This window comes from Homo sapiens, chromosome 8 (genome assembly GCF_000001405.40).
Source record: "Homo sapiens chromosome 8, GRCh38.p14 Primary Assembly".
Taxonomy (NCBI): Eukaryota; Metazoa; Chordata; class Mammalia; order Primates; family Hominidae; genus Homo; species Homo sapiens.
Window position 1 is genome coordinate 2,112,500 of NC_000008.11, and position 24,549 is coordinate 2,137,048.

General features: G+C 44.8%; 1 protein-coding gene across 1 annotated transcript in view, besides 1 other annotated feature; it reads left to right on the plus strand.

The window, feature by feature from the left end:
• MYOM2 (myomesin 2) overlaps positions 1-24,549 on the plus strand; it is a 100,411-nt gene that overhangs the window by 67,454 nt on the left and 8,408 nt on the right. The window contains exons 26-32 of the mRNA NM_003970.4: positions 3,461-3,605; positions 3,717-3,776; positions 5,386-5,453; positions 10,753-10,866; positions 11,056-11,143; positions 11,680-11,718; positions 16,628-16,733. Coding sequence (NP_003961.3) covers positions 3,461-3,605; positions 3,717-3,776; positions 5,386-5,453; positions 10,753-10,866; positions 11,056-11,143; positions 11,680-11,718; positions 16,628-16,733 — 620 coding nt within the window. The remainder of the gene's footprint in view (positions 1-3,460; positions 3,606-3,716; positions 3,777-5,385; positions 5,454-10,752; positions 10,867-11,055; positions 11,144-11,679; positions 11,719-16,627; positions 16,734-24,549) is intronic.
• Positions 23,803-24,310: an enhancer, noted in NCBI's record as "H3K4me1 hESC enhancer chr8:2084289-2084796 (GRCh37/hg19 assembly coordinates)". NCBI's record gives its function as "activates a minimal SCP1, AML or CMV promoter by ChIP-STARR-seq in primed H9 embryonic stem cells {active_cell/tissue: H9 hESC(primed)}" and the evidence as "EXISTENCE:reporter gene assay evidence [ECO:0000049][PMID:30033119]".

Consider the following 24,549-nt stretch of genomic DNA (forward strand, 5'->3'; position numbering starts at 1 on the left):
GAGGGGTGGGCTCAACGGAGGGGGCTGTTTGCCTGAGTGATCTTAGGAAATAGTGTTGGGGAATAGGAGTGGGGTCAGAAGATACAGACTTTGAATGTCAGGCAGAAGAACTTAGAAACAATGCTGAAGAAAATGAACACAGAGAGAGAAACTGAACCAAGTGGCCAGTTTGCTAATATTCGTCTTCTAAAGCCTCTCCGGTGGCACTGGCATTTGCAATATCAAAACAGAAATGTAAACTCAGAGAGAAAGAAGAACATGTGAAAACAAATGCACGTGATTTATCAGAAGAAGGTTGCTGATTTTCTGGCTAAACTTACATTGTCACCTGCAGATAGAAATTCTCTGCAGTATTGCTGCTAAGGCAAGGGCTGTGAGAGGAGTGTGGTTCCAAGGGCTGACGGAGTCTTCTCCCGCTACGCCTGCCTCATTTGCCGAGCACCACAGGTTATTAGTTTTTTGTTTTGCTCATGTGGCCCCAAGAGCCTCCTTGGGTCCTGGGTAAGATCATTATTCAGGCTGGAAAGCCTTTGCCCCAATTCCAGCTGAGATCGATCCGACAGGTAGATGCAGATCTGCAGAAAATATTGACAGCAGCTGAGACTACCGTATTGGTAACGCTGGGCACGAGGAAGCCGAGGCCGGGCATCCACACTCCCGTGATTCTACGGTGGCATGGCTGGGGCGAGTCCCGCGCTGGACATTGGATTCCCTCGACGCCATCGTGCCTTGCATTACTGCTGCATTTAGGATGAGTCACACACTGGGATGTGGTCCTTCTACCGTCAAGACCCTGCTCAATGTCAGACACTGTATCATCCAGGTGGAGTACAACACAATCCACTAGCAGCCATAACACCTTTCAGTATCTGTTAGCACATCCCAAAGGCTGAGTGAGCAGAGGTGTGGGGAAGGTGAGCTGGGAGCAGGTGAAGGCCTTGGGAGGTCTCTACCCCAGATGCTGCCTGGGGTGGGGCTTCTGTGCCCAGGGTGTGGCTGCACCAAGGCAGGGAGGTCAAAGAGGGTGGTGCAGGGGGTTAGCTGTTGAAGGAAGAGAGGTGACAGTTGCAGCCAGGGATGGAGGAAGGACCGACTGGGACAGGTTCATAGTTTCAGCCGATGACTGATCTGGAGGGGAAGGTCTCAGTTGATCAAGAAGGCTTCTCAGGTCTGCACTGGGAAGGAAGTTCCGGTCCTGACCATGTCCGCGGGCTCTCACCTAGAAGCATAATTATCTTCCAAAATTGCTCAGTGTCACTTAGTAGTGTCAGAGACCACAGCCACCTCAATGCCACAGATGGCAGGGTGAGCTAAGCCCCCTCCAGCTGACTTTCTCATCAGAACCTTGTTGGACATGTGTTTGGTATTTCTCACTGCCAGGCATGATGCTGGGCACAGCGTGAGGCTGCAGGGATGAGTAAGGCCATGCCTGCTCTCAGGGGCTCATTGTCTGGCGAGACAGACAGACGGCAGGTGGATAGGTAGGGTGGGGAGGGTGCTCCCAAGGGCAGGGTGCTATTGGGGGAAGGGAGGCAGAGCTGTGGAAACCCCATAAAACACCAAGCCTCACCCGGGGGCATCAGGGAAGTCTCCCTTGGAGCCAGTCACAAGGGCTGCATTCGGGTGAGGTGGCCACGACAAGGATGGGCAGAAGCTGCACTGTTGCAGAGAGGCCTGCAAGCTCAGAACTTTGGGGCATGGCCCTCAGGGAACTCCAAGGCATGAAATGTATCCCTGCATTCATCACCAAAGCAGCAGAGAGGCAGGTAGTCCAGGCTTCTGTGGACTGTTCCTGTGATACAGTGTAACCTAGAAATCATGAAGTGATGCAAAGTAGTGTTCTCAGACCAACCAACAGCCTTCCAGTCTTTCTCCTATCTTAGCAACAAGACAGCTGCACTGCAGGCAGGGAGGGGGAACTGTGTGGGCAAATGTTTGTGGTTTGGTTGTATGCATTATATATGACAAAATTTCTTCTTTCCCCCTTTTTTTGAGACAGAGTCTCACTCTGTTGCCCAGGCTGGAGTGCAGTGACTGTGATCTCGGTTCACTGCATCCTCTGCCTCCTGAGTTCAAGCTCATGCCTCAGCCTTCTGAGTAGCTGGGATTACAGGCGTGCGCCACCACACCTGGCTAATTCTTGTATTTTTAGTAGAGTTGGAGTTTCACCATGTTGGCCAAGCTGGTCTCGAACTCCCCACCTCAGGTGATCTGCCCACCTTGGCCTCCCAAAGTGCTGGGATTACAGGTGTGAGCCACTGCACCCAGCCTAACAAAATTTCTTTTTTCTTTTTATTTTTTTGAGACAGGGTCTTTCTCTGTTGCCCAAGCGATCCTCCTGCCTCAGCCTTCCCTGTAGCTGGGACCACAGGGATGTGACAAATTTATATACTGCTACACAGGAAAACTCGTTTTCAGAATTACAAGGAAGAGATGGTCTAATATATTAAGAACATATATTGGCAAAGACCAATACCATATGAAATTGGTTTGAAACAGTTCTAAAAATTACACAGGCTGATTGATGTTTTGAAAGGTTTCATTAGAATTAGAGTTATTTAAGTGAAAAAGTGAAATTTAAGTATTAATATTAATTTATAACTTTAATAATTATCAAGAAGCACAAAAAGGTAAAAATATCAAGCCCCCAAATAAGGCAACCAGCAAAAAAAAAACAAAAAACAAACAAACAAAACATAAAAAAGAGAAATAAGCATTAATAAAGATGGGGAAAATGGTTTTAGTGAAGTTAAAAAGTTAATAAGTAAACATCACAAAATCAGAGGGAAACAAAAGATCAAATTTGCTCAATTCATCTGTGTGTTAGAGAAACACTTGTTCTTTGACTTGTAGGATTACCTAAATAGAACACATTCATATGTATCTGTGCATGTACTGTAGAATAAAATGAAACATTTAAAAAATAAAAGCGATCAAAAAAGTCAACACCTGTTGGAGGTCCATTTATCCTTTCCTCACCTGAAACCCCTGCACCCTGATGGACCACAGCAGGCTGGGGCTTGTGGGTGCTGTGTCCCGGGAGCTGAAGATGACAGTGGCTGTGGAGATTGCCTGTTGTTGCTATCCATGTGGGATTTTTGTCATCAGCTGGTGATCGTTATCATTCATATCAATTGCGTATCATTTTATTTTCTCCTGTGAATTTTATCTGCTTCACGTTAGTAACTCATTCTTGGGTAGGTGTGGAGTCTCTGCCTAGAAGGTCCCTGGTTTGGACTCTCAGATCTCCTCACACAGCCAGGCTTTGTCACTGAGTGACAGCTCATACCCACTGTTTGATCCTTGTTCACCCAGAGGTTTCCTTGATAAAATTTCATTTTGGTTTCTTCCTATCATAATCCCTTGAGATCTCATGGCTGATGCAATTGTTAAATGTTGCAAGGGAAAACTAGGAGAGATTTCCTTGTATAATTCTCCATTTCCCTTGTTTTGCTTGCAGATACACAGAATTAAATGTGACAAAGCTACTGGCATTATTGAGATGGTGATGGATCGATTTAGTATTGAAAATGAGGGGACCTACACTGTGCAGATTCATGATGGGAAAGCCAAAAGTCAGTCTTCTCTAGTTCTTATTGGAGATGGTATGCTATATCGAATATTTCCACGTCCATACAAGATAATTCAAATGAAATTCTTTTGACTGGAGAGAAGCAAACATGTTTCATATATATTTTTTTAAATATTGAATTTAGCATTCAAGACTGTGCTGGAAGAGGCTGAGTTTCAAAGGAAAGAATTTCTCAGGAAACAAGGTGAGTTTCCTCACTCTGACCGGCTCCCCTGCCCCTAGCATAAAGCAAAGATGATTGGAGTATTTGTCAGAAGCAGATCTTGCATGATCCCAAGCAACCCTAAAGGCTGTTTTAAATGATTAAGAGGTTAGGCTTACCAACTGCATAGGAAAGGAACCTGCTTTATAGCAGGGGAGTGAAGAGGAAAGCGTGCCTCTAGCTTTAATGTCCAGACGGAGTCCAGCAATTTTAATGAAAAGAATAAAGAATGGGGGTAGAGGAGGTGGTGGCTTCATTTGGCTTTGAAATGTAGAGAAGGCAGTAGAGGCTATTCCTATCACCAGGAAATTGCTCATTCTACTTAAGATTGTGGGAGCTGTTAAACTTTCTAACTACAAACAATATGTTTTAAATAGATTGCTTTTACAAATACATGTTAACTAGATACAAAGGAAAATGGATACACTTTAGATTCTCAAACATACCCCAAGGGTTTATTCAAAGAATTTTTTTTCTTTTTTGAGATGGAGTCTTGCTCTGTTGCCCAGGCTGGAGTGCGGTGATGCCATCTTGGCTCACTGCAAGCTCCGCCTCCCGGGTTCACGCCGTTCTCCTGCCTCAGCCTCCCGAATAGCTGGGACTACAGGCGCCCGCCACTATGCCCGGTTAATTTTTTCTGTATTTTTAGTAGAGACGGACGGGGTTTCACCGTGTTAACCAGGATGGTCTCGATCTCCTGACCTCGTGATCCGCCCGCCTTGGCCTCCCAAAGTGCTGGGATTACAGGGGTGATCCACTGCGCCCAGCCTCAAAAAACATTTTTATATATGGGATTTCTGAACTTCTTGAGAAAAATTAGAATGTGAATTATGAAACATAAAATCAAAACATTCATTTTTATTATTTTTCATTGTTTTTATTTCTAATAGTCACAAATATTTTACTTACTTCTACATTATGAACATTTTTGGGCCAACTTTGTAGGATGTATTTATGTATATGAAAGAAGTGAACACATACTTTCCAAATCTGCTTTGTATTTTTGCATTGAATGGCAAAAGGGTATTAGTGTATGACTTATTCCTACATGTATTTTAAATAAAAATGATTAACATTTTTTAAAAACATATATAAACCTGTCTTTGATTTTGAATGCTATCTAAAGAAAATGTGTTTTACAAAATTGCTAGGTCAAACTGTTGTTTCTTTATCTCATATCTATTCTCTTATTTAAAGGTATTATTTACCATGTTGTCGAATGTTCAGTTAGACATATACTTTGGGAAACAAAATATAATTATTTCAATAGCCTCCTTTCTGAAGAGCAATAGATATGAGATGTCAGTAAGAAGGAGCCATCAGACGTACGCTCCTACCAGGAAGCACAGATTCCAGTGGAGAATCAGTGTTAACACGTGTCGACATCCCAGGCCTGAAAACTATCTCAGTTTCATCCTCCACAGCTATTGTGTTCTGCCAAAAATGCATTACATAAATATATATAATACATTCTTATGTATTATATATACACACCATGCATATATGTGTGGGTATATATATATAATAGCTATATATTTATTTGTTTACTTTTTCCTTTTTTATATGTTTTCTTCCCTTTTTTCCTCCCTAGGCCCTCATTTTGCTGAGTACTTGCACTGGGATGTCACGGAAGAATGTGAAGTTCGACTTGTTTGCAAGGTGAGAAACCCGGTTCTAACAGGAAAACAATAAATCTCATTCTGGTTCCTATCAGAGAGGCCTTTCAGGGAGTAGCTGTGGCCAGATCTGTGATGCTGGTGAGGAAACGTGTGGTGCCTGTGTAGCTGCGGATGGGCGGAGTGGCTTTTGGGTCCTGTGGACTTTTTAATACTTGGACTTCAGTGCTTATCTTTTCTTCTTCACGAAAAGATTACAGTGTAGTGGGATGCAATGGAAGGTTGGATTATAAAAATTTTACTTAAACGATTATTAAGTGAGTTTATGAGAAAGTGTGCCCTGGTGAAATACACCTAGAAGTGCTGCTCATACGAGTTCATCAGGAAAGGAAAGGCATGCTTTGGAGACAAGATACTTCTTTCAGTTTCGTTTAACAATGTAGTAATGAAATATGTTTTATTACTAAATATAAAAATCTGTTTTTTAAGCAGCAAATCTTCAATTTAATAACTGCCTACTATTTGACTGTCTCAGGATGAGGGGATGGGGGAAAAAGATCAATAATGCATTGTTTTTACTCCCAAACTAGTTTCTTATTGTCTACTGGATAAGAGAGAAAAGTAAACAGACAGTTTCAATAAAGAGATGATTCGTGAGCTGCGTGTGCCAAGGGGACTAAGAATTATGCAGGCCAGTGAGTGGGAAAAGATGGTTCTAGGAAGATCCAGCAGCAGGGAGGGACAGAGAAGCTGAACTGTGCACTTAAAAATAAAAACAATAAAAAACCCAAGGCTGGTGGGCAAGTGGGGCATTCCCCTGCAGGACCCAGAGGCTGGCCATGGACTGAGAGGGTACAGAGCACCTGAGGGCTGTTAGTGCAGTGACACGGGCTGCTGGTTGACAAGGAAGGCTGGAGGTGGCAGGGCTGGAGGACGACGCTTCAGTAGGCTGCTGAGAGATGGTAACTCCAGCAGGGCAGTTTCATATCCACCGAGAGAAGGAGATTTAGGATACACATCCAGCAGTTAAAACCAGCAGGGGCTGGCAAGTAGCTGGGTGTGGGTGAGAGGGAAGTGTACTGGAGGACCGAGTGGGTGTGATATTTCTTGAGATCAGCACTGTACGGGGAGGGCCAAGTTTTAGGGTTTTGAGAATACATTCAATTTCACAAAGATTTAGTTATATCCGTGGAATGGTCAGTAAGGCATAACCGGCTCACGACAGGACATGTGAACCTGGCAGCAATGGGAAAGTCATCTGGAGCATGTGGATTCATGAGATATCGTGTGTGGATTCATGAGGTATTGGGAATGCTTGGCTGTGGACATGACGCAAGTGGGTCAAGCTGCCAAAGGACAGCCTTTAGAGACAGGAACATCACAAACAATTGGGGCATTCTGGAAAATTCAGATTGTCAGAGGAGAAGAGGAGACCAGCTCCAGGATTATTAAGCAGAAACCCTCAGAGAGTTCAGAGGGAAAGCAAGTGACTTGGTGGCCTCTGGCAGGGAGGGACTTTGGAGTGAAGCGCTGCGTGGCCGGGTGAGGAGGGGCGGCTGGAGGCAGCGCTGCATGGCCGGCTGAGCAGGGACAGCTGGAGGCAGCACGGGCTGGGTGCTGGGCTTTCCAACCCCACTCCCTGGCAAGGCAGGGTCTCTACGTGGTGGGCTGAGGAGATGGGACACAAGGGGGGATACGAGCAGGAGCCCGCTGCCCTCTGAGGTGCTCAGCTGGCAGTGAGGGAGAGCGAGGGGAGTCAGGGTGGCTTTGTCTTTCCTTCTGGATGGAGACGCTCAATCCTATTTATAGGCAGAGGGGTCAGTGGAAGAGGACTCACAGGTGAAGGAAGGGGAGCACATGGGGACACAGGAGGGGCAGTGCTGGCCTGGAGGGAGATGAGACCAGGTCAGCACAGCCATGCAAGGGGCTGCTTGGCCCCCAGGGCAGCTCCCTGTGAAGGACAATGAGGGGGCGGGGGGGATGCCAAAAACCAGGGCAGAGCAAGCGGCAGATCCATCAGTGCAGCCCGTTGGTTTCACACTCTTTCCAGTGAAGGGTTGGAGGGTGTTGAAGATGAGGAAGGTAGCCCACAGTGGGGGGAGTGGCAGGAGTGGGCTGTGATTGCCACTGAAGGAGGCAAGACAGCAGCTCCTTATTAAGAATGGAAATCATTGTTGAGTGCATCAACGTGGAGATAGCTCGTAGTGGCCCACATAGGGGTGCTGGGATTGATTTTTCCAGATGTGGCCAGTGACCTAGTGTGAGTCAGGGGACAGACTCATGATTGGGGTCTTGCTGGATGGAAGTTGCAAGAAGGGAAGATGGAATAGGAACTTTGGGTCTTGTTTAACTGTCGTTAGTTGGTCAACCAGCTGTCTAAGTTGAGCAGGAAAGTGAGGCCAGGCGGGATAAATGGAGAGGAGGCAGGGCTAAGCCTTGGTGATCTCCACTTGGCCACCTCAGCGGGGACACTGGGGTGTGAGCTTGTTGATGAGCCTAAGTGTCAGGTGGGGACCTGCCGTGAAGAGCAAGTGCGTGCCTGTGGAGCAGAGGTCTGCAGTGCACTCGGGAGTGGACCCGGGCAAGGGGATTTGCAGGAGGATGGGGCATGGGGGTTTGGAACTAGGTGGCTGTTGAACACACCCTAGATAGGTGCAGGTTACTCCTAGAAATTTGTGTGATGAAAGGAACCGTCTTACTATTCTGACCATCCTCAGTATTGGTAATTAATTTGCAATTTGATTTCCTGTATATATATATATATATTATATTATATATAAATATATAATATATATATTTTAATTGCCAATCTAATTGCTTACTGTCTCTTAAATCAATACTGTTTTCCCTTCCTCTCTTCTTGAAAGAAATTTATATAGATATATAATTGATAATACATTATATATATATTAGTGATAACTAGAGCTAAGGCTTTGATTTGATAGGTTCGATAACATGCTCAAGGTTGTGGTAAATTTATTATAGAAAAATACTTAGATTTATTTTTGGTAGTGAATTTCTTGCACTAGTGTGTTTAAAAGGAAGATTCAGAAATGAAAACATTTATAAAAGAAGAGAAGGTTACTTGCAAGGAAGCTGCAAGGGAAGTGGTCTTTAGAAGTCTTGCTCAACAAATGAAAAGCATAATGGACATTTAAAGGGAAGAATCCTGCCAGGTGACTGATGATAGCCTGTGTATGTAGTCCATTCATGCTGCAAAAACAACTTTCTCAAATTATTTACCCTGCACAGAAAGGTATGTTTCTTCCAAATTTTAGACATCAGCACTGCAAAAATCAGTTCCTTAGGGAGTCAGCAACTCAAAGCCCAGAGCAAGTCAGTGTGACTTGGTTATGGTGCTGGTTTATTCTTTTTGTTGTTGTTGGTATTGTTGTTCTGACCGTGCCATACAAGGTGTGTGTGCACTCCCAAGGCCAGTGGCGAGACCCCCGAGTTCTGCTTTCCATGGGCTCTGATATCATCTTAGTGGGATAGAACCGTCTATAAATATTTAAAATTATTTTAGGTTCCCTGACTAAAGTGATTCATAAATCTTTAAACACAGATATTGGGAAAACTAATATTACTTGAGGTTTGAGGGTTTTTTGTGCAATTTAATACATTTGATTTACATACTTGTGTCCCTGTCAAGCCTGTGATTCGGTGCACCATTTTGTCTACAGGGTTTTTCATTTAATAATGTGGTGCAGATGGTTATTTTAAAAATTATTAACGTGAAAAAATAGATGGAGAAAAACTTATGCAAGGATGCAGTCACATTGTAACTTCAGAGAAAACCATTTTTAAAAGTTTCAGACACAGAGAAACCACAATCATAAACATAAGAAAATCTGTTAAACATTCCTTACACAGCAGAAGTGGAGAATTAGCGCTGACTCTTAGGAAGTGTGAGTCAGGCATGGGCCATACGTAGCCTAAGAGGTGATGTAATCATCTTTCCTAGACATTCATGTGCAGTTTAGGTGCCCATATTTTAAAGAGTTTATGGTAGAGAGAATTTGAGGGAGTGCAGAGAAGAAACAAATGAGTTATTTTGGGGAATTAGAACCGTCTCCCCCAATTATAGGACAAATACATTAATTACAGATATTTATTTCAGAAAACAGTAATTGAAGGTCATTGGAAAGGCATTTATTGGAAAGGACCAGCAATGTAAAATTTTTTTGAAGAAGAGATGAAGAGAAAACAGTATTGACTTAAGAGACAGTAAGCAATTAGATTGGCATTGAAAACAGACACCAAAGAAAATTTTGAAATGTTAAAGTAAAGGGAATCGTCTGCTAGAGTCGTGGAGCCTCAGCCGCAGTCCATTCTAAGATTTGTTATAAAGGAGTGGTTCTGATTTAGAAGGAAGACACTACTTTGCAGCTCAGTGGGATACCTTCCATCTATGTATTCCACAAACATTGATGGGACAACTTCTGTGTGCCAGGCAGGCAGCCATGCACTTGGGGACAAGTGTTAGTGAAACAGACGAAACCCCTGCTTCACAGAGATTCAGTCCCAGTGCTGTCGAGAACGATGCCATTTCCCATAGCGGATGTGGAAATTCTAAGCTGTGTTGCACTGTTACTCTAGCAGAGCTGATGACACTGTTGAATCATTTTCATTCTTTTGTCATCAACATCACTCTTCTTGAATTCACATGGGATGTGAACATCGAATTGTGAGACTTGTATAATCTCATGGGATTCAAACATTCTGCCATGCTGAATCAGAATTCTTCCTCGTCCCTCAGACCAATGCCGGAGCATGTGAATTGGAATGCTCATTTATCTTCGGAGTTCCGCAAAGCTTAGTTTCTAGCCAGCGATTGAATTGTGAGGAATTTCAGTATAGGGAAGGTCCTCACCTCTAGTGAGCATTTTTGTGTTAAGATTTCATTTTCTTTGTGTCCCTGTACCTGAAATGGGATGCTGTTAAAAGAGCAGCTGCCAACCAGCTTTACAGACCCCTCAGAATATTCTCTATTATTCAGAAATCCCCATATATATTGCTTAAGACTTGTCTTTGTTAATGACATTTCATATAGACCAAAAGATCTTTATGCCTAGTCTAATTTCATGGACTAGAATGACGAGAATCATTTGTCCTTCTGTGAGCAACTGTGAGGACTTAATTTTCTTAGAAGCTGGAATTTAGAAATGTGTTTGACGTTATTGGGAGCGACAGCTTTTCCATAAGCCTTCGTCTGAGACTGTCTATAGTAAAAACTAAGGTTTTTTGAGGGGGGGGCTCTGTGATTTAAGATTCTAATAGACTTTCTTTTTCTCATGAGTCAGAATGATTTACACACTAAACTTAAGCTTTCTACCTCACAGGTTGCAAACACCAAGAAAGAAACCGTTTTCAAATGGCTCAAGGATGATGTTCTGTATGAAACGGAGACACTGCCTAACCTGGAGAGGGGAATCTGTGAGCTCCTCATCCCAAAGGTATCAGGCATTGAGTAACACAAGAAAGCAAAACAAAAACGGCACTTTCAAATAACTCGTAAATTCTACAATCCTCTAATTTGCATCCTGAATTTCGGTGGTTTGCAAAGAAAATGTATTAGAGTTTATTACGTTTTCTAAGATTGCAGTATTGACTTTACATAAATATGGAATGTGTTTTCTTTGTAGTTGTCAAAGAAGGACCACGGTGAATACAAGGCAACCTTGAAAGATGACAGAGGCCAAGATGTGTCCATCCTTGAAATAGCTGGCAAAGGTAAAAGAAAACCTCCTTTGTTCTGTGAACAAGAAATTCCTTTCACCAACAGGATGGGATGTATTCTGAAGGCAGGTCTATGTCTAGCCTCAGCTATAGCACACATTGTGTCTTTAGCAGTAACACTGTAGAAAAAAACTATTTGTTCTTTGGTTGCTTTCAGAGTTTTTTCAGTGTTTTAGAATAATGTATGATATTACTCTGGGTTTATATGAAACGTCATTTCGGTCCATCATCAGAAGCCAAGCAACGCATTACTAATGCAGTTAAAATGATGGAAACACTGAGGCAGTGATTCAGTTGAATGTAGAGTTGGATTTATGTTGAGTAAAACGTTCTTGATCCTTTTTTAAAAGTGAATAGGTTAGAAGGATTTATCGCACACATAAGTCTTTTATGGATAAATATTGCCATTTTAATGATTCATTTTTCAACTGAACATCACAATTTCCTGCATCGATTTAATTAAACATTGAAAATGCTGCTTTCGGTTAAAGTTACATGTCGTAATGGTGCGTATCCCTTCTCATTTTCAGTGTATGATGATATGATTTTGGCAATGAGTAGAGTCTGTGGTAAGTAAATGCCTTTTAATTTTCAAGTCATTTGGGGTGCTGAAATCACTATTTCCTGACACGGGAAGTCACTGCTGCAAAAGAGGGCACCATGGAGCTGTGGTGCGTGTTCTGTGGGAGGCCCTGGATGGAAGGGCAGGGTGGTGATCTGCTGCCGATGAAGCTTTTTAAAGGACTTCCCTCAGTTTTGTCTGGAGTTTGAGTTTTACTTTAAGAAACTCAGGTTGGGCGTCCTGATTAGCCACTTCTTCCATCCTGTCTTAGGTTAATTGGCATGACTGCTTTGTATATAATTGCTATGAGCAGCTTTTTACATATGTTGAATAGCCGTAATGAATTTTTAAACCTCTCACTTTGCGTCGTACACATTAAACCATATGTTATCTTTACAAATAAATGCCCAGAGGTGGGATTGCTGGATCACATGTCAGTTCAGCTTGTTTTTGGAGGAAACTCCACACTCTTTTCTATAGTGGCTATATTAATTTACATGCCACCAATCATGCACAAGTGTTCCTTTCTCTGCTTGCCAGTGTTTTATCTTTTGTCTTTTTGATAATAGCCATTCTAACAGGTGTGAGATGATATCTCACTGCAGTTTTAATTTGCATTTCCCTGATGATTAGAGATGTTCAGTATTTTTCAAGTATCTGTTGGCCATTTTTCTGTCTTCTTTTGAGAAATATCTGTTCAGATCCTTTGCCCATTTTTAATGGGTTATTTGTTTTTTTCCTGTGGAGTTCAGTTCCTTATGGATTTTGAATATTAGTCCCTTAGCCAATGCATAGCTTGAATATAGTTTCTCCCAATCCATGGGTTCTTTCTTCCTTTTGTCAATTGTTTTCTTTACTGTGCAGAAGCTTTTTAGTTTTGTGCAGTACCATTTATTTACTTTTGCTTTTGTTGCCTGTATTTTTGATGTCCTATCCAAGCGATCACTGCCCAGATCCATGCTGCAAAGCATCTCCCCCACGAGCTTCCTTCCAGCGGCTTCGCAGTTTCAGGTCTTATGTTTAAGTCTTTTATCCAATTTGAGTTGATTTTTCCATGTGGCATAAGTTAAAGCGCCAATTTCACTCTTCTGCATGTGGATATTCAGTGTTTCCAGCACCACTGATTAAAGAGACTGTCTTTCCCTATTGTGTCTTCTTGGCATCTTTGTTGAAAATCAATTGACCATCAATATTTAGTTTCATTTCTGGGCTCTTTATCCTGTTCCATTGGCCGATCTGTCTGTTCTAATGTCAGTGCCATGCTGTTTTGGTTTCTGTAACTATATATTTTGAAATCAGGAGTGCGATGCCTCCAGCTTTGTTCTTTTTCCTAAGGATTGTTTAGGCTATTAGAGGCTTTCCTAGTTGCATACGACTTTTAGGATTATTTTTCCTTTTTTTTTTTTTTTTTTTTTTGAGACGGAGTCTTTCCCTGTTGCCAGGCTGTAGTGCAGTGGGTGAATCTCGGCTCACTGCAACCTCCATCTCCTGGGTTCAAGCGATTTTCCTACCTCAGTCTCCAGAGTAGCTGGGACTACAGGCACGCATCACCACACCCAGCTAATTTTTTTGCATTTTTAGTAGAGATGGGGTTTCACCATGCTGGCCAGGATGGTCTCCATTTCCTGACATTGTGATCCGCCCGCCCGCCCACCGAGGCCTCCCTAAGTGCTGGGATTACATGCTTGAGCCACTGTGCCTGGACAAGGATTATTTTTCTATTTCTGTGAAAAACAACATCGAAATTTTGATAAGAATTGCATTCAATCTTTAGATTGCTTTGGGTAGTAAAAATGTGGCTTTACTCTTATACTCATGAAATTATTTTGTGTTAAAATATCTCATAATGTGTCCAAGGGCCACTCATGGATAATAGAACTGACCAGAAGGTCTTGAAGAGTGAGTGTTTATAAGGAAAATGCAAAAAGCAGAGTCCTCACTGTGTGCTTGTCACCTCGAAGCAGAGATGCAGCGGCTGAGGGGACATGCACATTATGTTGGGAGTTGGATAGGGACAGAGGGGACAGGCCCAGAACTTCCCATATCAATAGGGAGCCTTTATTCTCATGGGAAACTGGACGCCATGGGCTGGAGTCTCTCCCTGACATATCAGAATGGAAGAAGTGGAAGGCATGTTGTCAACACACTCACACCCACACACTCACATCCCCACACTCACACAGCAGTCACACACACACGATTTCCCACTCAGACATACACACACACTGACACACACCAGTGTACCCACACCCTACACACTCACACACTCATACATGCACACACTTACATGTGAACTCACACACTGACACACACACTCATACACACACTTACTCATATGGGCACACACTTGTGTAGACTCACACACTGATGCATACAGACTCATACACAGGAGCCCTGGGAGGCTGGGGGAGCATTGGGGGAGGCTGATACAGGCTGGGGAAGCACCGGGAGAGGCTGATGGAGGCTGGGGGAGCACTGAGGGAGGCTGATGGAGGCTGGGTGAGCACTGGGGGAGGCTGATAGAGGCTGGAGGACCACTGGGGGAGGATGGGGGAGTACTAGGAGAGGCTGATGGAGGCTGGGGGAGCACTGGGGGAGGCTGATAAAGTCTGGGGGAGCACTGGGAGAGGTTGATAGAGGCTGGAGGAGCACTGGGGGATGCTGAGGGAGCATTGAGAGAGGCTGATGGAGGCTGGGGGAGCACTGGGGGAGGCAGATAGAGGCTGGAGGAGCACTGGGGGAGGATGGGGAAGCACTGAGAGAGGCTGACGGAGGCTGGGGGAGCACTGGGAGAGGCTGATAGAGGCTGGGGGAGCTGCTTCTGGTCTGTGTGCTTTGCTCTCAGGCTGCTCCGACCCTCCCGTGTTCTGCCTGGTTAGGGTGGTGTTGGTCTCATGAGTCAGTGTCAGGGAATTTGAGCAGAGGGAAGGGGGGTCGGGTGGGGGAATATGGCTCTGCAGTGTGTTGACTTCACCCAGTTCCCAAGCTCTTTTTCAAGTTGTGATTCCTTGAAGGGTGAACTCCTGTCTCCGAGTAGAGGAAACAGAGTCCCACCTGACTGGGGAGGGGAGATGGTGGTCAGGGATCTCTGCCTTACAGATTTTCAATAACCCTCCTGTCTGCAGCCGGCCCAGATGCAGGGACCCTCCAAGTCCTGAGCTCACTCGGTTCCCTGCGCACTTTTTGGCTTTCTTAGCCCCGCACAGTTCCCTAGACCTCATGCCCCTCCCTCCACCTCCAGAAGCTCTGGGGATGGGCTCAAATTCTGTCATTTCCTCCCCTGTTGTCCCTCAGGTTCCTGGGTGGTTTCCTCCTTTGCAGTGGACTAGCGGGGTTTAGGGAGGTGTGGAAGTCCAGGCAGGCAGTACCTCGGCGTGACGCGGTGACGCAGCCGCAGGCAGGCAGTACCTCGGCGTGACGCGGTGACGCAGCCGCAGGCAGGCAGTACCTCGGCGTGACGCGGTGACGCAGCCGCAGGCAGGCAGTACCTCGGCGTGACGCGGTGACGCAGCCGCAGGCAGGCAGTACCTCGGCGTGACGCGGTGGCGCAGCCGCAGGCAGGCAGTACCTCGGCGTGACGCCATGACGCAGCCGGAGAGAGCTTCACGCACACCATCTCTTCGTTCTTCCTCAACTCTGTCACGGAGGGGGCCTTTGTTTATTTATTTTTGGTTGGTGCTCTTTCTTTCCTCATGTGTATTTAAGGATAAAAGGAAAACAAAGAGCTTCACCATCATAACAGTTTCTATTTTGGTTTCTATTTCTTTACATAGTCGGAGTCACAAATACCGTTCATGTTGTTTTTTTCCCCCACATATTTTATAATTTTCTTTGTTTTATATAGATGTTATATTAACATTCACTTTAAAAAATAATTACTTATTATTTCATGGAACCACATATCATGGTTTAAGCTCTTTTCTATAGAGAAATTAATGAGTTTCCATTATTTTAAATAATTGTACAATGCACACCTTTGGGCAAGCAAAGGCTCTTTCAGGATTTAGGAATATGTTCTTTGAACTCCTAGAAGCACAATAACTATGTAAAAACTAAAAGTAATTTTAAGATTCATAATATAAATTTCAAGTTGCTTCCCAAAATGAAAAATTACTATTTAAAATGCCTCTTTGTTACACTATCCTCCACAACAGTTGGTGATCATCTTATTTTCCATTATCTGTGCTAATTATGTAAATCTAGTTTTCTAGGTAACTGTATGTGAATGTAAATTTCCAAGGCTGAATATCTGATAACAATCTCTACTTCCAGTTCAGAGCTTCTGCCTTCATCAGTGCTACTTCCTTATCTTCTCCTTTCTGACCTCTGACCCATAGATCATCTACCTCAAGCGAATTAGTCTTCATTTTTATTCCAAGTACACTGTGTGTGTTCTCGTTTATTGCATTTTCTTATTGCCCCTGGGGTTTCTTCTGCTTTCCTTCCTCTGACCCAAGTTTCATTTGTCTTGAAGAACCAGCCGAGGTGCTCCCATCTGCTTGACTCCCACCTGAAAGAGTCCTGCTAAATCTTAACGTCCCTTTTGCAGATTTTCTACGATAGTTCAGCTTGGGGTTAACTCACGTAGCATTTGCCATGCACTGTTGTTATTTTGCCTCCTTTTCTTAAGCAAAGCTGCTGAGGGGCAGATGTTGAATCTTTTTAGACAGTTCTATATCTTTTACAGTATTCTGCAAAGAGCTTTTCAGATAATTCTAGCATGGTAAGAGCTTGTTTAATGAATGGAGACAGCATGGGAATAAAGTATAAGAATTTGTGGCTGGCCGACTTTATGAGAGACACAAGTGAGAACAGGATTGCAGGTGGGGACAGGAGGGCTTGCCGCCGCGATGCTTTCTGTGATCACACAGCAGGCACTCCTTTTCCTAGATCTGAGGATGTTTTATTTTCTGCAGGGAAATCTGCTTCGCCACTGAAGGTACTCTGCACCCCAGAAGGAATACGACTTCAGTGTTTCATGAAGTATTTTACAGACGAAATGAAAGTGAACTGGTGTCACAAGTAAGTATGACAGCAGCCGATGGAGGCCATGCCATAGATGGGGCTGTCCAGGGCGCACAGCTGGGACCAGGCGCTCCCTGGGGAACATCAAGGCACTGCCATTTCCCCTCAAAATTTTATAATTTTGAGCAATGATGACAACCTTTAGCTCAGGGAAGGGGGCCCTCACGGCAGTGGGGAGGACGTGGAAGAAGGAGGCAGAGGAGAAATGCCTGATAGTGTTACAGACAAATTTCTCTAGTGTCTCAGTCACCAAAGGTGGCTTTACTGGTAACACAGATTTTCTCTGGAAGCGAACAGAGAGCTGAAGCAGAACTAATAAATAATTTGTAGAAACCAGACTCCAAATTTCCAGTCAGTTGGTTTCCCGCTAGACTTGATTAAAAGTACCAAAACAAGCCCAATCATTAAAATTAAAAACAGAAGAAAACAAGACCAAGCCTGAAGACACAGCAAGGTTTTCTGTATTTCATGCTTCTCTGGGTCGGTACGGATCACTGAGAAAACTACCAGAGACTTCTCATGCAACCCATAGCACTGGGCAGGTCCCTGCTGCCCTGCCTCTGGGTTCTGGCTACTTCCCAGGCAAAGCACAAGCCGACATCTGAAACAACCAGGCAAACTGCTGGCTGAATCGAGGAGTCCCCAAAACAGGACTCGCATCAGGGTCACCAACCCCTATAGATATCACCGCAGATAAAAGTGGACTTCAGGTGGGTGGGAAGGACAGACAGAGCAGGGACGGTGGCTTTTTAACGATCTCTTCGCTATCCAAAGGATGACGTGTTCAGGCCAATTATTTGATGGTGTCAAGGCACCCAGATGTTAACGCCCGTCAGTACACTGTACCCAGGGCGCCCACACCCCGCCTTTAGTTAACGCCCCTCAGTACGCTATACCCAGGGCGTCCCCACCGCGCCTTTAGTGAACACCCCTCACTACGCTCTACCCAGGGCGCCCACACCCCGCCTTTAGTTAACGCCCGTCAGTACCGTATACCCAGGGCGCCCACACCCCGCCTTTAGTTAACGCCCGTCAGTACCCTATACCCAGGGCGCCCACACCCCGCCTTTAGTTAACGCCCCTCACTACGCTATACCCAGGGCGCCCACACCCCGCCTTTAGTTAACGCCCCTCACTACGCTATACCCAGGGTGCCCACACCCCGCCTTTAGTTAACGCCCATCAGTACGCTATACCCAGGGCGCCCACACCCTGCCTTTAGATATCATAGTTACCTAATGAATATTTCCAAAGGAAAATCAATGGTTATGACTATTTCACTTTTAATATCACTGGTTTGCTTAGGTGACTGTAAGTAAATTGAAGAGTTGAAAGCATGTATGTTCTTAGCTTTTTTCCTATTTCAATTTTGACATAGTGTGCTTTTTTCTTATAATGGAGTCAGTACATCTGTGCTTGGAATCTCTCACGTCTTTAATTTTACTAGCCTGGTTTATTCAAACTCAAATGGAGTCACTGTAGATCCCATGTTAAGGGATTTGTTAGGAAAGTGTATTGAAGGCAGGGTCTTTTTTTAAAGGACTGTGATAACAGGAGCTTACAGGACTAGAACTCTGGTGAGTTTTGTGATATAATTGTTTATCGGGATTTATTTTGTGGGACAATGAGTAAATCTATGTTTCTAGCTGAATCAAACCTTCCCCTGGAAAAGGAGAATTAATCATCAGCATCTTTGAGCTTCCTTCTTATTTACAGCATATTGTCTTGCTGTAAGTTGTACACACTTGCAATGTGTGTCCTGCCATCCGTCATAAACACGTTCATCTTCTGGGAAAGGCCACCCCCCTCTTCAGCCTTGTGTGGTTTGTAGTACAGGCCATGCGCTGTGCTGGGTCTGGGGGGTACAGAGATTAAACACACACCCACACACAGGATTAAACACACGCCCTGTGGATGTGTGTGACCACACAGGAAGTGTGTGTAGATGTAGGTCATGTTAGTGTTAGCAAGCAGGTACTTTGTGTTACACGTTCAACACATGTTATTTTTATCTAATCCTCACAAATACCCTGTGAGTTAGGTATTTATACCCACATTTTATAGATGTGGAAACTGGGGTTCAGGGAGAGAAACATGTCATTTTGTCAGTCACGCCCCTACTAAGTGAAAGAGCAGGGATTTGAACGCTGGCTGGTCTGGTTCTCATCAGTGCTCTCCCGAGAAGCTCCAAGCCCAGTGAAGAGGGTGGGTCCTAGATAGGCAGGCAGATCGGGGCACAGCTCATGCATCTGACTCATCAGTGACCATGGATCAGAAGAAAGCATCCCTAGATACAAAAAGAGAAGGAGGTGTTATTGTAAATCCCACAGACTTGTAAAAGTAACATTATTTCTATGTTTTATCTTCCCCAAACAAATTCATTATACAACAAAACAGGCATTTCTTTCTTTTTTTTTTTTTTTTTTGAGACAGAATCTCACTCTGTCACCCAGGCTGGAGTGCAGTGGTGCGATCTCGGCTCACTGCAAGCTCAGCCTCCCAGGTTCACGCCATTCTCCTGCCTCAGCCTCCCAAGTAGCTGGGACTACAGGCGCCCACCACCACGCCTGGCTAATTTTTTGTATTTTTAGTAGAGATGGGGTTTCACCGTGTTAGCCAGGATGGCCTCAATCTCCTGACCTCGTGATCCACCCACCTGGGCCTCCCAAAATGCTGGGATTACAGGCGTGAGCTACCGCAGCCGGCCAATAGGCATTTCTTTAACACCTTTATAACTAAACTATAAGACCTTAACTTCTTACTATTTGACTATTAAACAACATGAAACTATATTAGGTAGTCATCATGTATGATTGTAATTCACTTCTTGATGACTAAATGCGTTCTTATTAGATAGCAACTGGAAAAAAAGAATAATAAGAAAATTAGTTGGAAAATTTGTTGCAATATACTTTAGCCATTTGAGGCTAAATAATCCACTTCACAAAACCTATGAAGCCAGGGAGTGGAGCTGCCAAAGACTGGTGCTGTGGGTCCTGGAATATTTTGTGTTAATGGGTGACATGGAATCAATAGAGTGCTATGAGAATTTTGTGAAATGCGGACGTAAGCAAAGACAATTGTTCTTTAGTTAAAAATGCTGAGTAATACATCAGAGGCTATAGAACATGTCACTTTAAGGGAATGTTAGAAACTTATTCAGCGTGAGTTAGAAGCAGGCAAAGAGGAATTCAGTAAAAATGTTCTTAAGAGAAAAGATTTTGTTCTCTTACTGAAAGGTGAGATTAATATATCATCTAGACATGGCTAGATCTCAAAGTCTGAACATATTGACCACTGAAGTCTTGGAAGTATCTCAGAAACTAAAGAAATTGCAGTCTCTCTTTCTCTCTCTCTCTCTCTTTTTTTGAGACAGAGTCTTGCTCTGTCACCCGGGCTGGAGAGCAGTGGTGCCATTCTAGCTCACTGTAGCCCTGATCTCCTGGGATCAAGGAATCCTCTTGCCTTGGCCACCTCACATGCCTCACAGTGTCTTTATGGCATACAAAGAAGTGCATGCTTCAAACTCCAAATGTGTATTTTAATTCATTTCAGGAGATTTCACACGCAGAGTCTGACTTTGTAAATGCTCTCCTAAAATCTCAGCTAACTCTTGAACTAACTGGGAGGAGAGGTGGCTGCCTGACACCCCAGACACCTTCCCCGGCACATCTTCGTCCTTATGTCCACAGGGTGGGAGGGGCAGTGGCTGGCCATGTCTACAGTGGGAAGGGCTGGGGCGGTGACGGGACGTTCCCTTTGTCCTGGTCGTGGCTTTAGCCGATGTGTGTTGTGCCTTGCGGTCCTGGCCTGTGACAGCTGCAGGGGTGGGAGCTCCAGGTATGTGCAGTCCCCTCTCAGAAAGCACAGGGTGTTTCCAGTTCTCTGCATGTGTTCTGATGTTCACTATTTAGACAGCAGTAGCAAAAGGCTGCTGGGTATGTTAAGGTCCCCTCAGGCTGTCCCATCTTGTGGGGCTCTTCCCAAAGGAGGTCTGCATTCCTCAACACTGTCCTCTCCAGCCTAGAAGCAAATATTTCCTAGCTTTTGGGAATTTCTCCCTTTTATCTACATTTCCCTTCAAAAGGGGAGCAAGATCTAGGTGGAGTTGACTTGAATTTTGGACCACACTGAGAAGAGCTCAGACACCACAGCGCTATTGAAACCTTCAGTGGACTTGACGGAACCACTGCCTCGGAGGCGCCGGCTCTGTTCTTGTGCTTCCATCTACCTGCCTCCGACAGAGTCGGAGTGTTGCTCTGTCACCCAGGCTGGAGTGCAGTGGCATGATCTTTGCTCACTGCAACCTCTGCCTCCTGGGTTCAAGTGATTCTCCCACCTCAGCCTCCAGAGTAGCTGGGTTTACAGGCATGCGCCACCATGCCTGGCTAATTTTTGTATATTTAGTAGAGATGGGGTTTCACCATGTTGGCCAGGCCGGTCTCGAACTCCTGACCTCAGGTGATCCACCTGCCTCGGCCTCCCAAAGTGCTGGGATTACAGGTGTGAGCCACAGTGTCTGGTCTGTCAGTCATTGATCTCAGACTTAGTTTTTAGATTTTTACACTTGTGTTACTTCCAGCCATTTATTTTATTGTATATAATATTCAGTTACAAATTTATAATATTTCTAAATCGTTCACTGTGAAATAATTTTAGACTCATAGAAAAGTTGAGAAGAAAGTAAGGAGTTCCCTTACATCCTCCACCCTCTTCCCCTGAGGTTAACGTCTTCTGTAGCCACCTCCACCCTCTTCCCCTGAGGTTAACGCCTTGTGTAGCCACCTCCACCGTCTTCCCCTGAGGTTAGTGTATTGTGTACCCACCTTATAACCATCAAAACCAGGCGCTGAATGATGATGTAATACTATTAACTCTGCTACAGACCAATTCAGATTGCACCTTTTTTTCCAGGAACGCCCTTTTGCATGTTCCTGTGTTGAATCTCAGGTCCCATGTTGTGATTAGGTGTCCTGGCTCCTGGTTTCCCCCCTGTCTAGGACAGTTCTTCAGGCTCTCCTCGTCTCTCTCGGCCTGGGTGCCTTGAAGCCTTCTGTCAGTCACTCGGAAGCACGCCCCTCTGTCTGGGTTTATCTGGTGTTTCCCATGATTGGGTTGGTGACTCCGTTTTAGCTGGAATACAACAAAAGCCATGCTGATACCTGATCACTGGGTTAAGGCAATGTCTGCCCCGTCTCTTCCTGGGAACGTTATTATTTTTCTCTTGGTAATTAGTAAATACTTCAGGACTTGGCAAGTCTCTTGTCCCTCCGCAGACCTGTGTGCTGGGATTTGAGGTTCAGCAGTGAATCTGGCCTTCAGCACTGATTTCTGAGGGGCTGAAGTTCCCTTTTCCTTTTACATTTGTTCTGCTGGGAGGCGCTGGCCTCTCCTCTGTGCATCTCCTCATTCAGCTGCTTGGCTGTATCCGTTTGGACTCAGGGATGCTGACTTTGTTCTGTGAGCTGTTACTTTGCTCAAATTGTTCCAGCTCTGGCCCTTGGGAGCTCCTTCCGGTTGTCGCCTGCTTTTTCCAGTGTGTGTGCCTGCATCTTCTTAGGAGCAATGCCTTATTTTCTGGGCCCGTAAAACATTCCCAACTCATCTCATATCTTCTGCCCCATTGCTACAATCCCAGAAGTCCTGGCTCCTGGACAAAGGTTGGCATCAGAGACTATCGATGTCTCAGGGAGCCGCGGGTCTTACATGCTCTGGAGACAGGACTGGGTGATGTGTGAGTGCACACGGAGGCACACACTCGCTCATCCGTGTCCACTTCTGCATCTCACCGTCTGTGTACTAGAATCTGATTGGATCCCAGCCCAACTCCACAGCCTTCATTCAAGCCTTGTTCCTTTCCTGAGCTGTAAAGCCTGGCTCTCACCTACTGTTGTTGTTGTTTTTTGTTTTGTTTTGTTTTCAGTCCTAGTATTTACATCAAGCAGTTTCAGAATTAGTAACTCATATCTCTGTGAGAAACAAATGTGCATACTAGAGTTCAGTGTTTCCTACAATTAATTCCTTTCATCTTTAGCCATACAGTATCAAATCAAAATATTGCTTTCCAAAGTTACTTTATGTCTTTACGTTCTGGGTGGTAAGCAATTCATTTGCAACATAGTTATGTTCATTTGTTACTGTTCGTATTTTGTTTTGGGTTCCCCTTGCTTTCAGGTTGGTGTTCCTCATTTGTTTTGGGAAATGTGAAAGGCAGTGTGGTTGTAAGAGTCTGAGCTACAGAACTGGAGCCCAGACCTTCTCTCCTCCTCCCTGCTCACCTGCCCCCGCCCCTTACCTGTCTCCTTCCTACCTACCCCGTCACAGTTGACCATCCTGCTGGTTGCTTTAGCACGAAGGAGCAGAAACGTGTGCTTTCTTCTATCCTCCACTGTCTTATATTAATGTGAACCATTTTAACTTTAGTTTGGAATGAAGGAATTTGGTCATGTTTTGTAATCAAGTAATACGAAGAAGAGGTTTTGTCATATTTGGCCCATTTATGTCTCTAAACAACAATAATAATAATTTTAATATCCCTATATGTCCAAGTCATTGTCTAGGTAAGGCAACAGTTATAATTAATTCAGCGACTAGATAGTCAAAGAAATTAACAGCTATTTTTGAGCACTAGGACGTGTTTGGCCCTCTTATAAGTTGCTCATTCAGGGGAAGCCAAATGAGTGGGCGTGGGGTCTAGGGTGAGACCCTGAAGCTGGGAGTGGGAAGCTGGAAACCAGCATTTGCCCTCAAGGTGAGCAGCCAGGGTTGCAGACGCAGGGACAGCGGGAGCCTCTGCTGGAAGCTCTGCTAATGGCTGTCCATGTTCTGTGAGTGGCTTTGTCTGAGTCGTATCGAGGGAACAGAATTAGAACCCAGTCCAAGAGAAGTGTGTGTGATGCAAGAGAACCTGGGGTCAGAACGCCAACATGGGCAGCTCGAGGCTGGGATTGGGGTTGAAGGTGGCTGCTGATCCCCGGCTCATGGCTACCTTTGTGCAGCTGCAGCCCAGGGAAGGGTAGCGTCCCAGCTGCAGGCTGTGGGGTCCTGGCTCAGGGCATCTTGCATGCATGCATGTGTTTACCCTGATCCCAGGGTGGCAGCGGAGGCCGCAGCTGTGACGGAGGTGGGGCCAGAAGCATGTGGGGTGCCAGAAGTGCACCAAGTGGGCCAGTGTGTGATTTGGTGTCCAGTGGACACCATTCCTTCATTACAGTGGTTTTTACCCTTCGTCACTGGCTGAGATTTGGGTTCAAGTGTTCTTCCCCCAGATTGTGTGGCTGTTGTAAAGAATCTCTCGCTGAAGTAGAGGGTCACTTTTTAAAAGTGAAACTTGAATGATAAGTCACTCCAAAGGCCTAGGGCCGTCAGCATGAGGCCAGTGAAGCAATTGTGTGCAGTGGGGCCCTTATCTCCACTGCTGCCCAGCCGGTGTGTCCAATTACACCAAAGTCAGGAGGCCGGTGGGACACATTTACAGCTATTTTATGAATGATCGCGTGAAGGTGTACCTTTTTCCCTTGTCACCTATATCAAAATAAAATTATGTTTCTTTTTCTGTAAGCAAGTTGCTAATTGTGTGAGTAGAATGGATCACCACTGGAATGGAACGTAGTCCAGCAGAACATAAACGCCGCAAAGGCTAAAACGCTGCCACTTCATGAAGCATTTGCAGCGCAACTTTCGTGGCCCAGTGAATTTCACCTGTTGGACAAAGCTGTGGCTGATACGGTGGAAACTCCACTAGCTTTTCTTCATGGCTCTAAGTCTAAACAGTGAGATTTTGGGGCTGTTTGCAATTTTACCCCACGGAAGA